The sequence below is a fragment of the Homo sapiens genome, chromosome 17 (genome assembly GCF_000001405.40).
Source record: "Homo sapiens chromosome 17, GRCh38.p14 Primary Assembly".
NCBI classification, from domain to species: domain Eukaryota; kingdom Metazoa; phylum Chordata; class Mammalia; order Primates; family Hominidae; genus Homo; species Homo sapiens.
In genome coordinates this window covers 81,227,162-81,243,886 of record NC_000017.11, presented here as the reverse complement: position 1 = coordinate 81,243,886, position 16,725 = coordinate 81,227,162, and the positions used below count along the sequence as shown (strand labels likewise).

The 16,725-nt window shown below is 60.6% G+C and overlaps 2 protein-coding genes and 2 long non-coding RNA genes across 16 annotated transcripts, besides 7 other annotated features; 1 reads left to right on the top strand and 3 right to left on the bottom strand.

Moving 5' to 3' along the window:
- Positions 1,164-1,458: a silencer, noted in NCBI's record as "tiled region #11657; K562 Repressive non-DNase unmatched - State 14:Gen5'". NCBI's record gives its function as "represses a minimal TATA promoter and a strong SV40 promoter by Sharpr-MPRA in K562 cells {active_cell/tissue: K562}" and the evidence as "EXISTENCE:reporter gene assay evidence [ECO:0000049][PMID:27701403]".
- On the bottom strand, positions 2,577-4,576 carry NDUFAF8 (NADH:ubiquinone oxidoreductase complex assembly factor 8). Of its 4 annotated transcripts, none has more exons than NM_001086521.2 (3): positions 4,440-4,569; positions 4,209-4,319; positions 2,577-2,900 (listed from the first exon to the last, which is right to left on the bottom strand). In NM_001086521.2, exons 1-3 carry the CDS (start codon positions 4,521-4,523, stop codon positions 2,871-2,873), a joined length of 225 nt encoding a protein of 74 aa, NP_001079990.1. In that variant the 5' UTR covers positions 4,524-4,569; the 3' UTR covers positions 2,577-2,870. The 4 variants fall into 4 exon arrangements, 3 of the variants coding, with proteins under 3 accessions (NP_001079990.1, NP_001340332.1, NP_001340331.1); NM_001353403.1 differs by having other exon boundaries at positions 2,589-2,900; positions 3,944-4,319; positions 4,440-4,576; NM_001353402.1 differs by having other exon boundaries at positions 2,589-2,900; positions 4,205-4,319; positions 4,440-4,576.
- Positions 4,003-4,082: an enhancer, noted in NCBI's record as "active region_12956". NCBI's record gives its function as "activates an Ori minimal core promoter by ATAC-STARR-seq in GM12878 lymphoblastoid cells {active_cell/tissue: GM12878}" and the evidence as "EXISTENCE:reporter gene assay evidence [ECO:0000049][PMID:35858748]".
- Positions 4,343-4,492: a silencer, noted in NCBI's record as "silent region_9121". NCBI's record gives its function as "represses an Ori minimal core promoter by ATAC-STARR-seq in GM12878 lymphoblastoid cells {active_cell/tissue: GM12878}" and the evidence as "EXISTENCE:reporter gene assay evidence [ECO:0000049][PMID:35858748]".
- Positions 4,463-4,682: an enhancer, noted in NCBI's record as "active region_12955". NCBI's record gives its function as "activates an Ori minimal core promoter by ATAC-STARR-seq in GM12878 lymphoblastoid cells {active_cell/tissue: GM12878}" and the evidence as "EXISTENCE:reporter gene assay evidence [ECO:0000049][PMID:35858748]".
- Positions 4,735-4,950: a silencer, noted in NCBI's record as "fragment chr17:79212737-79212952 (GRCh37/hg19 assembly coordinates)". NCBI's record gives its function as "represses an EF-1alpha promoter that drives an FKBP-Casp9 reporter gene in an ReSE screen in both phorbol 12-myristate 13-acetate-treated (for megakaryocytic differentiation) and untreated K562 erythroleukemia cells {active_cell/tissue: K562 | K562(+PMA)}" and the evidence as "EXISTENCE:reporter gene assay evidence [ECO:0000049][PMID:32094911]".
- Positions 4,832-15,610, top strand: TEPSIN (TEPSIN adaptor related protein complex 4 accessory protein). Of its 10 annotated transcripts, XM_047435391.1 has the most exons (15): positions 4,832-4,901; positions 5,014-5,373; positions 5,728-5,885; positions 6,428-6,500; positions 6,816-6,907; positions 7,086-7,179; positions 9,839-9,906; positions 10,171-10,249; positions 10,384-10,455; positions 11,369-11,572; positions 11,866-12,040; positions 12,196-12,309; positions 12,411-12,489; positions 13,209-13,343; positions 14,411-15,610. In XM_047435391.1, the coding sequence occupies exons 3-15, from the start codon at positions 5,778-5,780 to the stop codon at positions 14,957-14,959; spliced, it is 1,842 nt and encodes a 613-aa protein (XP_047291347.1). In that variant the 5' UTR covers positions 4,832-4,901; positions 5,014-5,373; positions 5,728-5,777; the 3' UTR covers positions 14,960-15,610. The 10 variants fall into 10 exon arrangements, with proteins under 10 accessions (XP_047291347.1, XP_005257123.1, XP_011522657.1 ...); XM_005257066.2 differs by having other exon boundaries at positions 4,832-5,373; XM_011524355.1 differs by having other exon boundaries at positions 4,832-5,373; positions 6,810-6,907.
- Positions 4,926-5,508: an enhancer, noted in NCBI's record as "H3K27ac-H3K4me1 hESC enhancer chr17:79212179-79212761 (GRCh37/hg19 assembly coordinates)". NCBI's record gives its function as "activates a minimal SCP1, AML or CMV promoter by ChIP-STARR-seq in primed H9 embryonic stem cells {active_cell/tissue: H9 hESC(primed)}" and the evidence as "EXISTENCE:reporter gene assay evidence [ECO:0000049][PMID:30033119]".
- Positions 5,053-5,142: a silencer, noted in NCBI's record as "silent region_9120". NCBI's record gives its function as "represses an Ori minimal core promoter by ATAC-STARR-seq in GM12878 lymphoblastoid cells {active_cell/tissue: GM12878}" and the evidence as "EXISTENCE:reporter gene assay evidence [ECO:0000049][PMID:35858748]".
- On the bottom strand, positions 8,604-10,429 carry LOC124904081 (uncharacterized). Its single transcript, XR_007065940.1, has 2 exons — positions 10,286-10,429; positions 8,604-9,948 (listed from the first exon to the last, which is right to left on the bottom strand). It is a non-coding gene; the product is annotated as an uncharacterized LOC124904081 (long non-coding RNA).
- TEPSIN-AS1 (TEPSIN antisense RNA 1) lies at positions 11,678-15,180 on the bottom strand. Its single transcript, NR_135654.1, has 4 exons — positions 14,510-15,180; positions 13,960-14,149; positions 13,647-13,885; positions 11,678-12,029 (listed from the first exon to the last, which is right to left on the bottom strand). It is a non-coding gene; the product is annotated as a TEPSIN antisense RNA 1 (long non-coding RNA).
- Positions 15,611-16,725: the final 1,115 nt, after the last annotated feature.

Below are 16,725 nucleotides of genomic sequence, written 5' to 3'. Positions count from 1 at the left end.
GCCGGGAGGAGGCTGGGAGGGGGTTGCGGGGCCAGGGGCTGGGAGGGGGCTGGGAGGAGGCTGGGAGGGGGCTGTGGGGCCAGGGGCACCACTCAGCATTTGGGAGGTGCCCCGCCAAGGGGGTTCAGTCCTGGTCATTTCTGTCCTTCATTCTCAATTAAAACCAGTTCCAAATGAACCACTGCTCAGTGGTAAAACTCCTTCTGGACGTTCCCCTTGGATTGGAACTCCATTTGTTAAATTGCTCAGAGTGGGATTTTCATTCCGGCTGGATTTCCCCAAATATCTTACCGTGACCCAGTTTTCTTTTCCTTCTCTGGAGGTTATTCCACCCTCCCCGCTTTCTGTTGCTGGAGCGGGCTGCCCTTGGCCGGCACAGAGAGGCATCCATGACGGCCGTGCCTCTGCTGTCGCCCACCCCGCTGCACCCCGGAGTCCCTGCACCCCCAGCCACAGACAGGGTCACCTGCTCCCATGCACATGTGGTTCCTTATTCCTTCCCACCCCCACCCCCCAGCCCAGGTGGCAGCCCCTCAGGGAAGGAAAGAGAAACTTCTTTCCCCAGAAGCCTCGCAGACCCCTGGGTGGGGCTTCTCAGAATGTTACAGAGGGGCCCCGGGGCCAGGCTGCGCTTTCTGACGACAGGCTGCTCCTGTCTGGTCAGTCCTGGTGCAGGTCGCTGGGTTGTGGAGTCTGCCTCTGGGGGCTCAGTTCCAGAGCAGGGATAGCGCTGTCCCGTCGCCGGTGTGTACTTCTGCGCGGGAACAGACTTGCGCAGCACGCTGGCCCAGGGACGGATTGAGCGGAGCTGAGCCCTCAAAGAACTTTGGGTATCTCCTGAGAGCCAAGGCATTTGCTGTGGTTTGATGTGTCCCCTCCAAAATTCAGGAGTTGCCTAAGTGACAGTATCAAGAGGTGACTAGGCCGAGGGCTCCTTCCTCGCTCGTACGATTAAGAGCCTTATAAAAGAGGCTGCACCTCCGCCTTCTGCAGTGTGAGGACACGGCACAAAGGCCCTCCCCAGACACCAGTACCAATGCCTGGATCTCGGGCTTCGCAGCCTGCAGAGCTGTGAAAAATCAGGCCGTTCTTTGTAAATCACCCAGTCTCAGGTGCTTTGTTAGGGCAGCAGGGACGGCCCAAGGGCACCTGAAGCAGTTAGAGCTCCACACTGTCCCTGCGGTGCGAAAACAGCAGAACCCCCACAACCTCCCCTCCCCCTCCCCCCCGCCTCCCCCCCCCCCACCCGCCCAGCTTCCTGAGCTGTCAATCGATGTGGTGCTGAAATCCAGTCACTCAGGGAGGAAGGGCAGAGCAAAGGTGGGAGGTTTGCAAGGAAATTTGGGGTGGCAGAAAAGAGGGTGTACCCCGGAGGCCTGAGAGCTGAGTTTGGAGGTGTGGGCCACGCTGGGCCACAGGAAGTGGCAGGTCTGTCACCACCTCACACACAGGGTGAAGGACAGCGAGGGGGAGTGCTGGCAAGACAGGTCTGTGGGTGGGATGGGAGGCTGGATTTGGAGGGAGAAGATGCAGGAAGCTCTGCCAATGAGCTGCCAGAGAACGGAGAGGGCGTGACAGGGCTAAGAAAAGGACGTCTGCACACTGAGGCTCGCTCATGGATGAGTGCTGGGCACAAGAAGGAGGAAGGCAGGGGTGGGGGGCAGCCGGCCCTGCACGCTGGGGAGGCGGGTCGGGTGGTTTGTGCCAGCGCAGGGCATCTGAGTCTGGCATGCACAGGGATGGACTGCGGTGGCTTGACCCCAGGAGTCTGGTCTGGATTTCCGTGGTTCCCAAGATGTGACACTATCCTGGCCCTTGGGACAAAATCCAGCACTCTGGCCTGGCTCCTGCAGACCCACCACCCAGATCAGACCCTTAGGGGAAACCAGGTTAATTCTGGGGCAGCATCTGGAGGAGGAAACATGGAGGAACAGACCTCAGCCCACGGGGTCAGCCGCTAGCACGGGCCTGGGGGCAGGCGCAGGCTGCAGCCCCAGGAAAGTGCAGCCTCTGCACCCCGGAGCAGGGGGGCTCTCAAAGCAGTCCCCGCCACGCCCTGCAGGTGGCGCTCAGGCCCCATGGACTCCGGGGTCTCACCATCAACAAGTGCCCGGGCAGAGTCAGGATGTGGCCCTTCTCACCTTAGTTTTAGGTCAAGTGATGTGATAGGGAGGGGGAACGAGAGGGCAGGCGCCATCGGTGAAGTACCTGGGCTGCCGAGGGGGCGACCAACCCCACACAGGAGGGGCACTGGCTGCTGGTGCTCTACGCAGGCCCCTCTCGGAGACTCAGGCCCTTTTGTGAAGAGCCTCCGCCCTGCCCCGTGTCCAGGAAAGCCACCTGCGAGGACCCTGCCCCATGGAGTGTCCCCTCGTGGTGCTGACGTCCTTGTCTTTGGTGTGTGCTGTATACCCACAGCAAGGTCTGCAGGCTTCACCAGATTCACATTAAATACCTTAGTGAGAGTGTTTTAAAACGGGGACCTTGAGGCAGGGTGTCCCCAAGTCCCAGCCCTGCCAGCTTTGGGGGAAAGGCTCTGGGCCCCATTCCATCTCAGAGAGGCCAAGACCCACATGTTGCAGTCTGCACACAGTAAGCCCCAGGCTGCAGGATTTGACCGAGTCTTTATCGTGGCTTCCGTTACATCTTATTCTAACTCAGGTTTACGGACACAATGCTGGAAAACCAATTCCTGCTCTACCCACGCCTCAACTTGTTAAGAAAAAACAGGATCTAACACCGAGGAATGTCACATCTTCGCCATTCCCACTTCCTTTCTGCCCTAGGCATTCGATATGTGCCACCAGGGGCCATCAGGACTAGGGCTCTGCACCCATGGCAGCAGACAGGTGTGAAGCTCAGAGTCCCTCCTAACAGCCTCCCTCCAGCGTCTTCTTGGCCTGCAAGATAAAGTGTTTTGTCTGAATGGCTTGCTTCCAAGTTAGATACGCCTCAAAAGCAAGCTACCACACCACACGTTGTGTTCTACCAAATACCTTACAGAGAACTTGGGTGCTGGCATATGGTGGGGGCTCGACTGGTTGGAGCCTGGGGCCCCATGGGCAGGTTCTCTGGGTCACTTGTCCACGGGACAAGGGCCTCATGACACTATCACAGAACTCACTGCTGCCCCCTCCTCTGAGCCCCCACGAGATGCCACATTTGGTCTCAAGCTCTCATAGAGGGAAAGCAGGAGCCCCCCCCCTTTTTTTTTTTTTGAGATGCAGTCTCACTTTGTTGCCTAGGCTGGAGTACAGCAGCGTGATCTCGGCTCACTGCAACCTCCACCTCCCAGGTTCAAGTGATCTTCCCACCTCAGCCTCCCAAGTAACTGGGACTACACCACCATGCCTGGCTAATTTTTTTTTTCTTTTTTTTTGTAGAGACGGGGTCTCCATATGTTGCCCAGGCTGGTCTCAAACTTCTAGGCCTAAGCAATCCACCCACCTCAGCCTCCCAAAGCGGTAGGATTACAGGCACGCGCCACCACACCCAGCAAAAAGTGCAACTTCTGATGAGTTGTCCACCCCTGGATCCAAGGCTGCTGGGGCCGGGTAGGGATGAAGGCCGTGGAACTCTTGTTCAAATACCCTTTCTCTGGTCCAAATCTCCGGATTAACAGCTCCCAGTAAACAGAGTCAGCACTGGCATCAAGGCCTACCCAGATACACTGAGGTGGTACCCGGTGCGGCTGACACTTAGGGAACCAGCCTCAGAATGACTTAAAGCCCCACGGGCAAGAAGCCCTATCGTGCCAGTTGTGAGGGTGGCTGGGGGTTCCCCGCAGGACACGTGCTGAAGGAATCCACCACTGCAGGTGCACAGGGGCTGCAAGTGCCAGGGAGGTGAAGACCCGGAAGGTGCTGGGCACTTTCCGGGAGTCCTGTGTTGGGTCAATCCTGGCATGACACCCCCCGGCGGCAGTGCTAACACGAAAGCTTACGCGTTTTACAAGGCGCTTTTTTGCACACATCTCCCATCCTTTCTGAGGTTGGTGCCAGTCCCGCTTTACAAACATGCAGGGACAAGCCCAGGACGGCCGAGGTTTCGCGGGCTCGTCGATGGCTCGGTGATTTTGTCAGCCGGCGTCTAAAGCACGCGGCAGGCGCTCAAACCTTGAACCAACGGGAAAGCAAAGGAAAGCCGGGGCCCGCTGGCTCTTGGAGGGGAAGGGCTGGGAAGGGGGGAAGGGGCCCGCGCCCACCTACCGCAGCGGCGAAGCAGCTCCGCAGGGCCTCGAACTCCCGCGCGCAGAAGTCCTTACTCAGGCGGCCGCCCGGGGCCGTGGAGGCCTGCACGCACCTGCCGTACGCCGCGGCCTGCGGAAAGGACGGGCGTGGGTCGTGGGGTCCCCTGACCCCGTCACCGTCCTCCCTCCCAGCCACCTCCCCGCGCGGCTCCTCCTGCCCCGCAGCACTGGCCCGCCCGCGGCTCCTCACCTCGGCCCCGCAGGCGGCCAGCCGCTCGGGGAAGGCGCGGAGGCGGCTTCGCACGCGGCCCCACACCGCTCCGTTAGCCGACATGAGCGGCTATTCCCAGCCCCCTGGAGGCCGCCATCTTAGGTCCGTCCTCTTCCGGTGTCAAACAGCTTGATAGGTCGGCGCTTCCGCCCATAACCTTTCCTGAACTTCTTAATTGGCCAGGCTTTGCCTGGCCTCGAGCCCCCGCAATTGGCTCTTGTCCTAGTCTGTCTGTGCTCTGGGACTTCGGATTGGCCTAGGCTCCAATTGTTTACGAAGCCAACCTCAGGGCCCGCCCTACCGTGAGGGATTGGCCGGCGGACCCAGACCCGCGCAGTGATTGGAGGGCCCGGGCCTGGCGGAAGCGGGGCAGACCGGGAGGGGACCTGGATCATGGCTGCCGCGCCGCCGCTACGGGACCGCCTGAGCTTTCTACACCGGGTGAGTGAGGGCGGTCCGCCCGGGCCCCGGTCCCACGGCTCCTCTCGAGCGCCGCATTCCCCGGACTCGCCCCGGGCCGGAGCCATTGACCTTGCGTCTCCGCGCCGGGTAGCTGCTCCTGGCCCCTTCGCCCGCGCCGACGCCCCTGAGCTGCCCGCCCGCCGCGCCGTCCCGGGGCCTTCCAAGCCGGGCCTTCCAAGCCGGACCCGCCGAGCGCAAGGGCGATGGGCACAGCCAGACCCTGGGGGAACGAACAGGCCTCGGCCAGCATTCAGTGGCCTCCGACGGGAGGGAAGGAGCGGCGGACCCGGTGGACGTGGAGCCGCTGTGTCCGTGCTGCTGGCGCCCAGGTGGGCTGGCAGCCCGCCGTCCTCCCTGACGGTGGCGTTTCAGAGGACTCCGGTCCTGGAGAGGCACCCCTGGGTTGCAGAGAACACAGACGTCTCGAAGGGACAGAGAAGGACGCACCATTGTAAGCCCCTCTTAGTAAACCCTCTGAGAAGTAGAGGCCGGGGCGAGTTCCCAGGTGTCGTCCTGAGCAAACTGCCCTCTTTTGTCAGCCCTGAGCTTTCCTGGGCTGGACCTCAGAGGGGGCTGGGTGGTCCCAGGGCGCGACCTTGGGCTGCCAGAAGCCACGCTAGGGTTGGTCAAGGCTCTCAGTGCAAGGTTTCGACATAGTCGTTCTGTGCTGCGTTCTGCAGTTGTCAGCTGTCACCTGCAAACCTCAGCAGCTCCCCTTAGGGCGTGGTGGGCAAACAGTGTCAGTGATGCGTGTCCACAGCCTCGGGAAACACTTCAGGTCCACGTTTTCGTATGTTGTCACTAGATCTCGGCCCTTCCGACCGAAAGGCTTCGGCACCTCACGCGGTGGGTCCCATGCTTGTCCTGTTAAATACTCTTGAACTCTATTCTGTCCTGATACTGAATAATGCAAGAATGGGTGGTTCCAGTTTTCATCCCTATAAACCGTACATCTTTGTGCCAGTAAGTAAGCATGAAACAAATAAGTACGTCTGCGCTAAGCGAACGTAAAACACACGACATCAGTCGGTTCTCGGGGAGCGATGGAGCTAGTCACGCTGAGCGGCTGTCACTCTGCCATTCCGGCCTCTGGGGAGGTGGAACGATTCATAGTCCCCTGTGTGGAAAAGGGGCTTGCCTGGGCCTTGTTTGGCTTTGCTAGTCAGTAGGTAGGTACAGGAGAGGTACCTTCAAATAGCCTTACATGCTGGTAAGTGCAGGGAGGCTGGGGGCTGTGTCCCTTCTTAACCCAAGTGGCGCAGCTCCTCCGTGGAGAACCACCATTGATTTGCCTCTTCTCCGAGGCTGTTCATCCCTGACTGTTGAGAGAGGACCCTGCTGCAGCCTCCCTGTGGCCAGTAGCACAGTTCTCATCCCTTCCCAGTCCTCTCTCCGGCCATGTCAACAGTGAGAGGTGGGTCGTTTCCATCCCCTTTGGGGGGCTGCGGATTCACCCCTGTGGGAAATGGCACCTCATCATGGTAGGGGCTCTTGTTCCCTTTCAGCTCCCGATTCTCCTGAAGGGGACGTCCGATGATGATGTCCCGTGTCCGGGCTACCTGTTTGAAGAGATTGCTAGTATCCTTCCTTGATGTCCCCGTGTAGTGGAAAGAGCGGATGGCAGGGTCCCAGAGTGGTGCAAAGGGTTCCTGGGGATTCTGCTGTCCCTAGGGGGATGCACGGCTCCTTTATTATTGTAACCAGGCATGGGTGGGGTCTGAAGGCTGCAATACTGATGACACAGGGGACCCTAGAAGCCCAGGTGCTCCTGATGGCAGAGCCTCCAGTAGGCGCCTCCAGGGAGCGTGAACTGAGAGGCCCCATGGCCTGGTCTCCCTGCGGCCTGGCGCAGCCCTCATCATCTCGCCCTTCCCTAACCCGAGCGTGCCGCAGAAATCTCCCACGAGTCTCCGGGCAGCAGCCAGTGCCTGCTGGAGTACCTCCTGAGCCGCCTGCACAGCAGCTCCGGCCACGGGAAGCTCAAGGTGAGCCCCTGGGTGGTCAAGGGTCAGGCCTGAGGCCCGGCCCACGGTGGTGAGGATGGAGGAGCAGACGAGCGGCCCAGGGTGGCAGGCAGCTCTGTGCCCTTGGGGTGCCCCCGGGCCCTGCCCTGGGTGTCCCGTGTCCGGCCTGCCCAGCACTGCTGACCGCCCCACTCCCCAGGTGCTGAAGATCCTGCTCTATCTGTGCAGCCACGGCTCCTCCTTCTTCCTGCTCATCCTCAAACGCAACTCTGCCTTCATCCAGGAAGCTGCAGGTACAGGGGCCGCGCACGCGCTCAGGAAGAGCCAGGGCTTTGGAGAATGGGGGAGGGTGGCGGATCCTCCAGGTTTGAGAAGGAAGACTTCAGCCAGAGCCCTCACCTGGGCCGGGTCCCGATCAAAGCCCCGCCTTGCTGATCCTGGCCCATCTCTGGCCTCTCCACCTGCTGCCCACCCTCACCCCAGCTGGCCGGCTCGGCCTCCCCTGACGCGCCCTGCCCCCTCCCTCCGCTGGGTCCTCCGTGCCTCCTATGCGTCCCTGGGCCTTTGGCTGCGTCTGTCCCTGCGCTTGCTGCCCCGGGTGCCAGTTTGTTTCTCTGTGTGCCCCACGGGTCTTCCCCCTCCATCCCAGTGCCCACACATAGCAGACTCAGTGCCTGTTCACACATCCTTCCCAGGCTGTGGGTTCCCCTTCTGGGGCTGCTCCTCGGAGCCCAAGACAGAGTGAGGCCATGGGAGGGCGGAGCTGGGAGGCAGGAGAGGCGGGGCCCCGGCCAGTCGGTCTGTCCAGGCAGAAGATGGGTCTGGGGGAGCTGTCCCCGCAGGCTTGGGGGCAGTCCCATGTGCCTCTGCCTAATGAGGACTTGTGGGGGCTTGGCCTGAGATCTTCCATGGGGTGGAGGGAGGCCTGGCTCCAGGTGGTCACTGGGCGCACCATGTCTGGACCCCACCCCAGCCCCTGAGTGGGGAATTCTGGGGAGGGAGACTGAGTCTGTCTCGTGCCACTGCTTGCTTGTGGAGACCTCAGGGTGTACCATCCACTGGGCTCACCCCAAAACCGGTGTCGAAACCAGTGTTGTCCCACTTTATGGCAAGTGGGCATGCAGCTCTAGGTGTTCCGCAGGGGCCAGTGCCCTGGGCCGCCATAGACAGTTGTGACACATGACTTAGGCAGTAGATGCCCCTGAGGGGACGGCAGTGCGGGGGTGCTCTCGCCATCCTCACAGAGCTCCTCACAGCTTTGGGGCCAAGGCAGCACCAGCCATTTATCCTCACCATTCAGCGGGCCAGAGGGCCCCGGGCTCCAGGCCACTCCCGTGGCTGTGGTTGGTGCATGTACGTCGTGGCCTCAGTGGTCTCGGGGACACGCCCTGGGGTGGGGGCTGCAGCAGGTAGGGGGATGGGGCACAGCAGGACCTGAGGATGGGAAAGGCTCTTCTTCAGACCCTGGGTTCTTGTCGGCACCAGAGTCTCTCCTGTGCAGAGGCAGCTATGGATGATGGCTGTTGCCTGCCGTGCCTGGACACTGGCCCTGGGTGACACACAGGCTGTGGGAGGTGTCAGGACAGGCCCTGTGAGGAAAGTGGGTGCCAGATGCCACACGTGAGAGACGGGGCGCCCTGCTCCAGGTGGTGGGTGTGCAGTGAGGATGGCCTGCCCCACGCGCGCAGAGCGTCAGAAAGAGGAAAGAAAACGCAGCTGGCAGTTACAGACAGATTTTCTTTAGTTAAAACCTGAGAGGCACCCCCAGCCGATTGCGGTCAGGAGCACTTTATCTTACAGACTGAATGTTGGTTTTAGGATGAGAGGGCTTATCAGAAGCTCGGAATGTTTATGTGTGTGGAGAAGTTTATGGCAGGGTTGGAAGGAGGGAAGGTTATCTTGGGGCAGGCATCTTTTCAGCCTGGAGGTGGGTTTTCTCGAAGCTGGCATCTTCCCGGCTGGAGAAGGGTTATCTTGGGGCTAGCATGTCTCTGGTTGGGGAGGAGTTTGGAATGTTTCTGGTTGGAGATGTTATTTGTGGTTCATGGTCGTGCTGACCTTAGCCATTAGGCTGATGCCCTATGGATTTAGGCAGTTTTTGGTTAAGGTGAACTTTAGAATGAGGGGCTTGTCCAAGATGGTGATGCTCCTGCTCTGTCACAGAGCAGGGGCAGCGTGGGGTGGCAGGTGGGTGCCCTGGGCTCCTGCAGGGAAGATGGCAGCCTCAGGGTGTCAGTTCATCCAGCCATTGACTCAGCTTGTGGCCGCCAGCCCTGGGCCCAGGGACAGCCAGGAGCATCGTCTCCGAATCACGGGACCAGCCTGCCAGGGTGGAGGTAGACGGCCGAGGGGCGTGAGTGGATTCGCCTGTGACAGAGGCTCTCGAGGGGTTCTCAGAGGCACAGCTCTCAGCCTGAGCCCTGAAAGGATGCCGCGGCCCCAGGTGTAGGCTTGGGGGGCCCTGGGGCCGGAAGATTTAAGGAAAGAAGCCCCAGTTCATCATGACAGGAACTCTCAGAGCAGGGGAGCTCGAGGCGGCTGAGACTGGGGTTGGGTGGGGCTAGGTGGAGCTTTCAGGCTGTGATAAGAACGCTGGTTTCTCCCTCCAGGCCCCGGAAGCCTCTGAGGGGTCCCTGGTGCACCTGGGGCAGGGAGAGTGGGCTTCGGGGAGGCCACACCCGCTCAGGCACCAGGGGTTGCCGACCCTGGGGGAGACGAGGTGGTTGCTGTGGAGAGAGTCTCGCCTCTGTGGGGCATGGGTGAGGGGGAGCTGAGGGTCTGCTCAGGTGTGGCCTCTGCAGGGTCCTGGAGGAGGGCATCCCATTGGCTGTGACAGAAGGGCCTTGGTGGCAGGAACTTGCCACCCTGGAGTGGGCCCAGGGCACCGTGCTCCACAGGGAGCAGCGGTGCCAGGCTCAGCCCTGCCCCCGACTTGCCTTTTCTGTTCTGCAGCTTTTGCAGGGCCCCCAGATCCTCTGCACGGGAACAGCTTGTACCAGAAGGTTCGCGCGGCCGCGCAGGTGAGCCCAGGAGCAGTGTCGCTCTGCGGGGTGCCCCTCCTCCTGTAGAGGGGTGGGATTGGGGCCAGGATGTCAGCTGGGGGGTTTGCAGTTCTCCCATCCGGGACCCCTGCCTCTGCTCCTTGCTGGTGGACACAGAGCCTGTGTCCAGCTGAGTGGCTCAGGAGAAGTGTCCGGGGGACAGAACGGAGCTGATATGGGTGGCAGGGTGAGTACAGCAGGCCCTGGTGTGAGGACACTGAGGGCCTTCGCCTCCCCCTGTAGGACTTGGGGAGCACCCTGTTCTCGGACACCGTGTTGCCGCTGGCTCCCTCCCAGCCTCTGGGGACCCCGCCTGCCACAGGTAGGTGACTGAGGGGACCGTGTCCAGCTCTGGCACCTGGTTTCTGCCTCCTTGAGTGTCCTGGGTGTCTGTGCCATCCGTGGGCAGGGCCGAGGGTGGGGGCCGGCTTGCTGCTAACGGAGGACCCTCTGCAGGCATGGGCTCCCAGGCCAGGCCGCACAGCACCCTCCAGGGTTTCGGCTACAGCAAGGAACACGGCCGCACGGGTGAGTGGGGAGGGCCTGCATGGGCTCTGGCATCTCAGGGTGTGGGGATGAGGAGGTGGTGGGGGCCGGACCATGCCGCCCCATCTAGTAGCTGCTGTCCCCCGTCCCCTCCCCTACATGGCCTCAACCCTTCCTGGGGCTGTCCCCACTGTCTCTCTCTGGCTGCTGACGTGGGGGTGGGGCAGGTGTGGCCAGGGCTGCTTTATGGACAGATGAGAGAAACCAGGCCGAGCAAGAAGTCAGGGCTGGGCCCCGTGGCAGGGGTGAGTCCCACTCTGAGAGGGGCCGAGGGCTGTGCCCCTGGCTGTGGTGCAGGTGACTCAGGCAGTCCCGTGTGGAGCTGTTATGAGGTGGGGCAGTACCAGTGGACAACTGCTCACCAGCGCCAGGAGAGCCACAGGTGGCACCACTGCCTGCGGCTGGGACCCAGCCCCCAGCCCAGCTGTGCCCTGCTGCCGGGCCCTGGGCGGTGTGTAGCTGCTCACCGTTAGGCTGTGTCACGCCGTCCTGCGCACAGCCTGGGGCTCCTGCCGACACTTTGGTGTCGGGGCAGCTTCTACAGGGAACTCACACAGGAAAGGCCGGCCCCTCCCCGAGCCCTGGACACACCCTCCCTGAGCCAAGGCCAAGCCCAAGCCCCTTAGGACACCTTCACCCCCAGAGGACAGAGGGACGGAGGCATAACTCTGCAGTGAGCTTTGGTGTCCAGGCCCACTGGGAGTGGGAATGCCAAAGCGGAGTCCACTGGGAGCTTCCAGAGGGCCTGGGGCCCACCAGGAGGCCTCCCTACCTGCAGCATGTACCCCGACCTCTCCAAGCTTGAGCAGGGAGCCGATGCGGGCACCCTGCTCCCAGAGAACGCGGGTGGGGGCCGCACTGGGCGGCCGTCCCATCTCCCTCTCCTCGGGTACAGGCTCGGCAGGCGAAGCCTTCCTCTCCACCATCCAGAAGGCCGCAGAGGTGGTGGCCAGCGCCATGCGCCCCGGGCCCGAGAGTCCCAGTACCCGGAGGCTCCTGCCGCGGGGTGACACCTACCAGCCTGCCATGATGCCTTCAGCCAGCCACGGTCCCCCAACCCTGGGGAACCTACTCCCCGGGGCCATTCCAGGTCCCCGAGGTATCGAGGCGAGGGCTCCTCCCCTTGGGGTCTGGGTCACTCCTTCCTGTCACCGCTGGGGCTTTGCGGCCACGGAGGCAAATCCCAGGGCCTCCCACACAGCAGGAGGGGTGGGACCCGCGGCGGAAGCACATGCCCATGGGGCTGGTGTTTGCTGAAGCTGGAGCCAAGGTGGCCACCCATCCTCAGCTCAGGACTCAGCCCCCGAGGCCTCCTGGTCCAGGGCCCCGGGAGGTGGGCATGGGGCTGGCCTGAAGCCCCAGGGATCTCACCGGCTGTCCTGTTTCCTCCAGCTGTGAGGCATCAGCCTGGGCAGGCCGGAGGGGGCTGGGATGAGCTGGACAGCGGCCCCAGCTCTCAGAATTCCTCCCAGAACAGCGACCTGAGCAGGGTCTCGGACTCGGGCAGTCATTCCGGCAGCGACAGCCATTCAGGGGCCAGCCGGGAGCCGGGTGACCTGGCAGAAAGGTGAGCGGGAGCTGCCAGATATGTGGGAGAGGTCTCGGAGGCACCACACTGTCCCCCTCCCAGCGCGGCTCCTGCTCTCCAGGTTCTCCCCCATGCGAGACAGGAGTGGGGGCATGGCCTCCACTCACCCTTGACCCGGCCATTCCCCCTGGCAGGGTCGAGGTGGTGGCCCTGAGTGACTGTCAGCAGGAGTTGAGCTTGGTGAGGACTGTGACTCGGGGACCACGCGCCTTCCTGAGCCGCGAGGAGGCACAGCACTTCATCAAAGCGTGAGTGCGCCCGGACCCGCCCTGCTCTGCCTCAGCCCCAACCGTGGGCGAGGGAGGAGGGAACGGGCCGCACCCGCCACCCAGGTGTCCCCTCTGTGCAGGTGTGGACTGCTCAACTGTGAGGCCGTGCTGCAGCTGCTGACCTGCCACCTGCGTGGGACCAGTGAATGCACGCAGCTGGTGAGCTGCACACGCGGGCGGGAGGGCGTGACTGTGTGCATGTGCCTGTGTGCGTGTGTGTGCGTGTGCGTGTGTGTGCACGTGTGCCTGTGTGCACACCTGTGTGTGAACATTCCTCTGTGTGGCTGTGCGTGCGCACATGCCTGTGTGTGTGCGTGTGGGTGTGTATGCCTGTGTATGTATGCCTGTGTGTGTACACACTCGTGCATGTGTGCGGTGTGTACACACTTGTGCACGTGTGTGGTATGCACACATCTGTGTGTGTGTGTACATGACTGCATGTGTGTGGTTGTGTATGTATGTGCCTGTGTGTGTGTGCATGCACATGAAAGTGTGGACACGTGTGTGCGTGTGTCGGGGGGCGTGCGGAGGAATGAAGGTAAGGCAATCGGGGCAGCAGGTCACGTGCTTCTCGCTGGGGTCTGTCCAGGAGCCGGGGAGGACATGGCTCTGGTGTCCGGGAGCTGGGGTGTAAGGCGGTGAAGACAGGGCTCTGGTGTCTGGGAGCGGGGGTGTAAGGTGGTGAGGACAGGGCTGTGGTGTCTGGGATCCGGGGTGTAAGGCGGTGAGGACAGGGCTGTGGTGGAGCTGTCTCTGGGGCCTCCTGGCACTCCAGTCATTGATGAGGAGGAAGAAGAGGGAGAGAGATGGCCAAATAGGCCTCCCTGGCGTGGACCTGCTGCCCCATGGGTGCTGATGTCCCCTCCCTTCACCCGCAGAGGGCGCTGTGTGCCATCGCCTCCCTGGGGAGCAGCGACCTCCTCCCCCAGGAGCACATCCTCCTCCGCACCCGGCCGTGGCTGCAGGAGCTCAGCATGGGCAGCCCGGGACCTGTGACCAACAAGGCCACCAAGGTGGGCAGCTGCGGAGGCCACACGCACACCGGGGTCCAAGGGTACAGTGGGAGATACGCTGCAGTCCACGGCCACCCCGTCCCTGCCCGGCGCCTGGTCAGCCCTTCCCGGACCCCCTCTCAAGTCCCTGTCCCGCTGGCAGAGGGAGCAGCAGCAAGTCAGGGTCCTCACCTCCCCATTGCCTTCCCGCCTTCCACCCAAACTCTGCAGCACTCACAGTACACTGGCCTCTACCTATTCCTGGAAGCCCCCAGACTCCGCTGCCTTAATGTTCCTGCCCTTGTGTCTTGGCCTCACACTTACCTCTTCCAGGAAGCCCTCCCTGACTGCACATGCAGTTTGCCACCCATGACACAGCTCATGCTCAACTCCCAAGCTCCGGAGGGCAGAAATGGTTCCATTCATCTCTGTGCACTTGAACACTCTGAACTGCCTGGCGGCCACTGGAATCACACGGGGAGGCCTCTCCCGGCCGCCAGGCCCTGGCACCTTCCCTCTGCCTGTGGGCATTCCCAGCTTCTTTCTTCCTGTTTTCTCCCTGGCTGCTGGAAACACAGGTCCTCAGTCACCCATCCCCAAGTCATCCTTAACTGTCATTGGCCATCTGCTAGCTCACCTTTCAGTCAGAGCGACGAGTGAGCCTGGGGTTCGCACCACCGCAGGCGAACCTCATAGTGGGGTTTCTAAAACGGGCATGCTGGAAGAACCCTGCGTCCAACAGTTGGAAATGCCCAGATGTGCCAGGCCACGTGTTCACTCCCTCCGGCAGTGCCTGGCGGGTTATGACGGGGAGGGTGTCCATTTGTCTAGTAGTGAGTAAAGGAGCAAGATTCGAGGTGTGTATGTGACACCTGCCCCGTGTCGCCAGCACCAGCCCAGCAGCTGCTCTCGGTGGGATGACAACTGGGTGCACTGCCCCAGCCCCTCCCAGCAGCCGGTGTCCTGCCCAGAGGTGGCCCTGCCCTCTGGGTGGAGGGACTGAGGAGGTCCTAGGGAGAAGCGGGCCCTGGTCCCCACATTTCCCAGGGTTGCATAGGAACCTCCCTGGTTCCTCCTTCCTCTTTCAGATCCTGAGGCACTTTGAGGCCTCCTGTGGGCAGCTGTCCCCTGCCCGGGGCACCTCAGCTGAGCCTGGCCCCACAGCCGCCCTCCCAGGCCCATCTGACCTGCTGACCGACGCTGTGCCTCTCCCTGGGAGCCAGGTCTTCCTGCAGCCTCTGAGTTCAACCCCGGTCTCGTCCCGGAGCCCTGCTCCCTCATCTGGGATGCCGTCCAGCCCTGTGCCCACCCCACCCCCAGATGCCTCCCCCATTCCAGCCCCCGGAGACCCCAGCGAGGCCGAGGCCAGACTGGCAGAAAGCAGGCGGTGGAGACCTGAACGGATCCCAGGGGGCACGGACAGCCCAAAGAGAGGCCCCAGCAGCTGTGCGTGGAGCCGCGACTCCTTGTTTGCTGGCATGGAGCTGGTGGCCTGTCCCCGCCTGGTGGGGGCTGGGGCTGCTGCGGGAGAGTCCTGTCCTGATGCTCCCCGCGCCCCCCAAACATCGTCCCAGAGGACAGCAGCCAAAGAGCCTCCTGGCTCAGAGCCGTCAGCTTTCGCGTTCCTGAACGCCTGACCCGATGGCCTGGCCCTGGAGTCTTCAGCTTCAGCTGCTGTCTGGGGCGGTCTGTGCTTCCTGAGCAGCCTCAACCGTAGCTGCTACAGTCTCCAGGCAGCTTGACTTGAGAGGACGACCCTAGGGCTACCTCAGTTTCCCCCATCTCCTCTGCCAGAGGCTCTGGCTATTTGGACTTGAATCCCTACGAGGGATGGCAGGTGGCAGGGCTTCAGAAATGTCGATCTCAGGGCTCTCAGGGGGCAGTCCCTGCCTGTCTTGCTCTCAGACATGAGGTTTCTTGTATGAATGCGGAAGCGACTACCAGGTTCCTTATTTCATTTTGATCTCAGCTCCCTCCTTCCCCAGGAGGTCATGAGCAGCAACAAGCCACTGCTCCCCCGTCCCATCGGGGTGGGCTAGGTGCTGAGGCTGGGTTTGGTGCATGTGGGTTGAGGGTGTCTTGTCCGGGCTGCCTTGTGCTGTCTGGCCTGAGGCCATTTCAAGTCTCAGATCCCTACGTGATCCTTCCCTGGCTCTCACCTGCTCCTTTAGGCTGTAATTGCTTCCTACACACGAAGCCTCTGATTGGAGCCTCTGGTCCATCTCAGAAAAACCTTCCAAGAGCGCTGGGGTTTATGCTTTCTGAATAAACACTACTGTTTACATGAACCTGGGCCGCTTATTTTTCTTTTTTTGTGTATGTGCATTTTAATGAAAATACCATCAATAAGGGGCACACACAGAGGACTGCTTTCCTCAAAGGAGGGACAGGCGGTGTTCCTGAAACGTTTGGTAGAACTTCCCACTGGCACTGTCCTTGCAGTTCACCTTCTTAATGGCAAGGTTTTAAACTATGAAATTCAGTTTCTTCAATAAATAATAGACTATTTGGGTTATCTATTTCTAATTTCAGCAGTTTGTGTCTTCAGGGGATTGGTCCATTTTATATCAGTTGCTGAATTTGTGATTCCGTTTTTTGTAGTAGTCCTTTATTCTTCCGTTCATGCCTGTGGGGCTGTAGTCACACTATCACACTCTTCCTGTCATGCCTGTGGGGCTGTAGTCACACTATCACTCTTCCTGTCATGCCTGTGGGGCTGTAGTCACACTATCACTCTTCCTGTCATGCCTGTGGGGCTGTAGTCACACTATCACACTCTTCCTTTCATGCCTAATATTGGTCACTTGTTTTCCCTTTTTCTTGGTCAGACAGTTTATTAATGTTATTAGTTACTTCAAAGAACAAACTTTGGTGTTTTTTTTTTGTACTTCACTAATTTCTGTTTTTCAGTTTCCTAGTTCACTAATTTCTGTTCTTTATTATTTCCTTTCTTCTGCTTTGGGCTTATTTTTATTTTTTCAGTTTCTTTTTTTTTTTTTTTTTTTTTTTTTGAGACAGAGTCTCACTCTGTCACCCAGGCTGGAGTGCAGTGGCGCAATCTGGGCTCAGTGCAACCTCTGCCTCCCGGGTTCAAGCGATTCCCCTGCCTCAGCCTCCCGAGTAGCTGGGATTGATTACAGGCTCATGCCACCATGCCCGGCTAATGTTTTGTATTTTGGTAGAGATTGGGTTTCACCATGTTAGCCAGGATGGTCTCGATCTCCTGACCTTGTGATCCACCCTCCTCGGCCTCCCAAAGCACTGGGATTACAAACATGAGCCACAGCGCCCAGCCTTTTTCAGTTTCTTAAGGTGGAAGCTTAGATTATTTATCATGTCCTTTATTTTCTAATGTGAGCCTTGTAATGCTATAAACATTCCTGTGAACACTGCTTTGGCTGCA

Coding starts and splice junctions, on each gene's coding strand:
- NDUFAF8 (NM_001353402.1), bottom strand. CDS start 4,523: ATGTCGGCTAACGGAGCGGTGTGGGGCCGCGTGCGAAGCCGCCTCCGC. Junction 4,320..4,439: donor TGGCCGCCTGCGGGGCCGAG/GTGAGGAGCCGC, acceptor TCCTTTCCGCAG/GCCGCGGCGTACGGCAGGTG. Junction 2,901..4,204: donor CTGCTTCGCCGCTGCGGTAG/GTGGGCGCGGGC, acceptor TTTATCTTGCAG/GCCAAGAAGACGCTGGAGGG.
- TEPSIN (XM_011524355.1), top strand. CDS start 4,854: ATGGCTGCCGCGCCGCCGCTACGGGACCGCCTGAGCTTTCTACACCGG. Junction 6,501..6,809: donor CCTGTTTGAAGAGATTGCTA/GTATCCTTCCTT, acceptor AACCCGAGCGTG/CCGCAGAAATCTCCCACGAG. Junction 10,250..10,383: donor GGGGACCCCGCCTGCCACAG/GTAGGTGACTGA, acceptor GACCCTCTGCAG/GCATGGGCTCCCAGGCCAGG.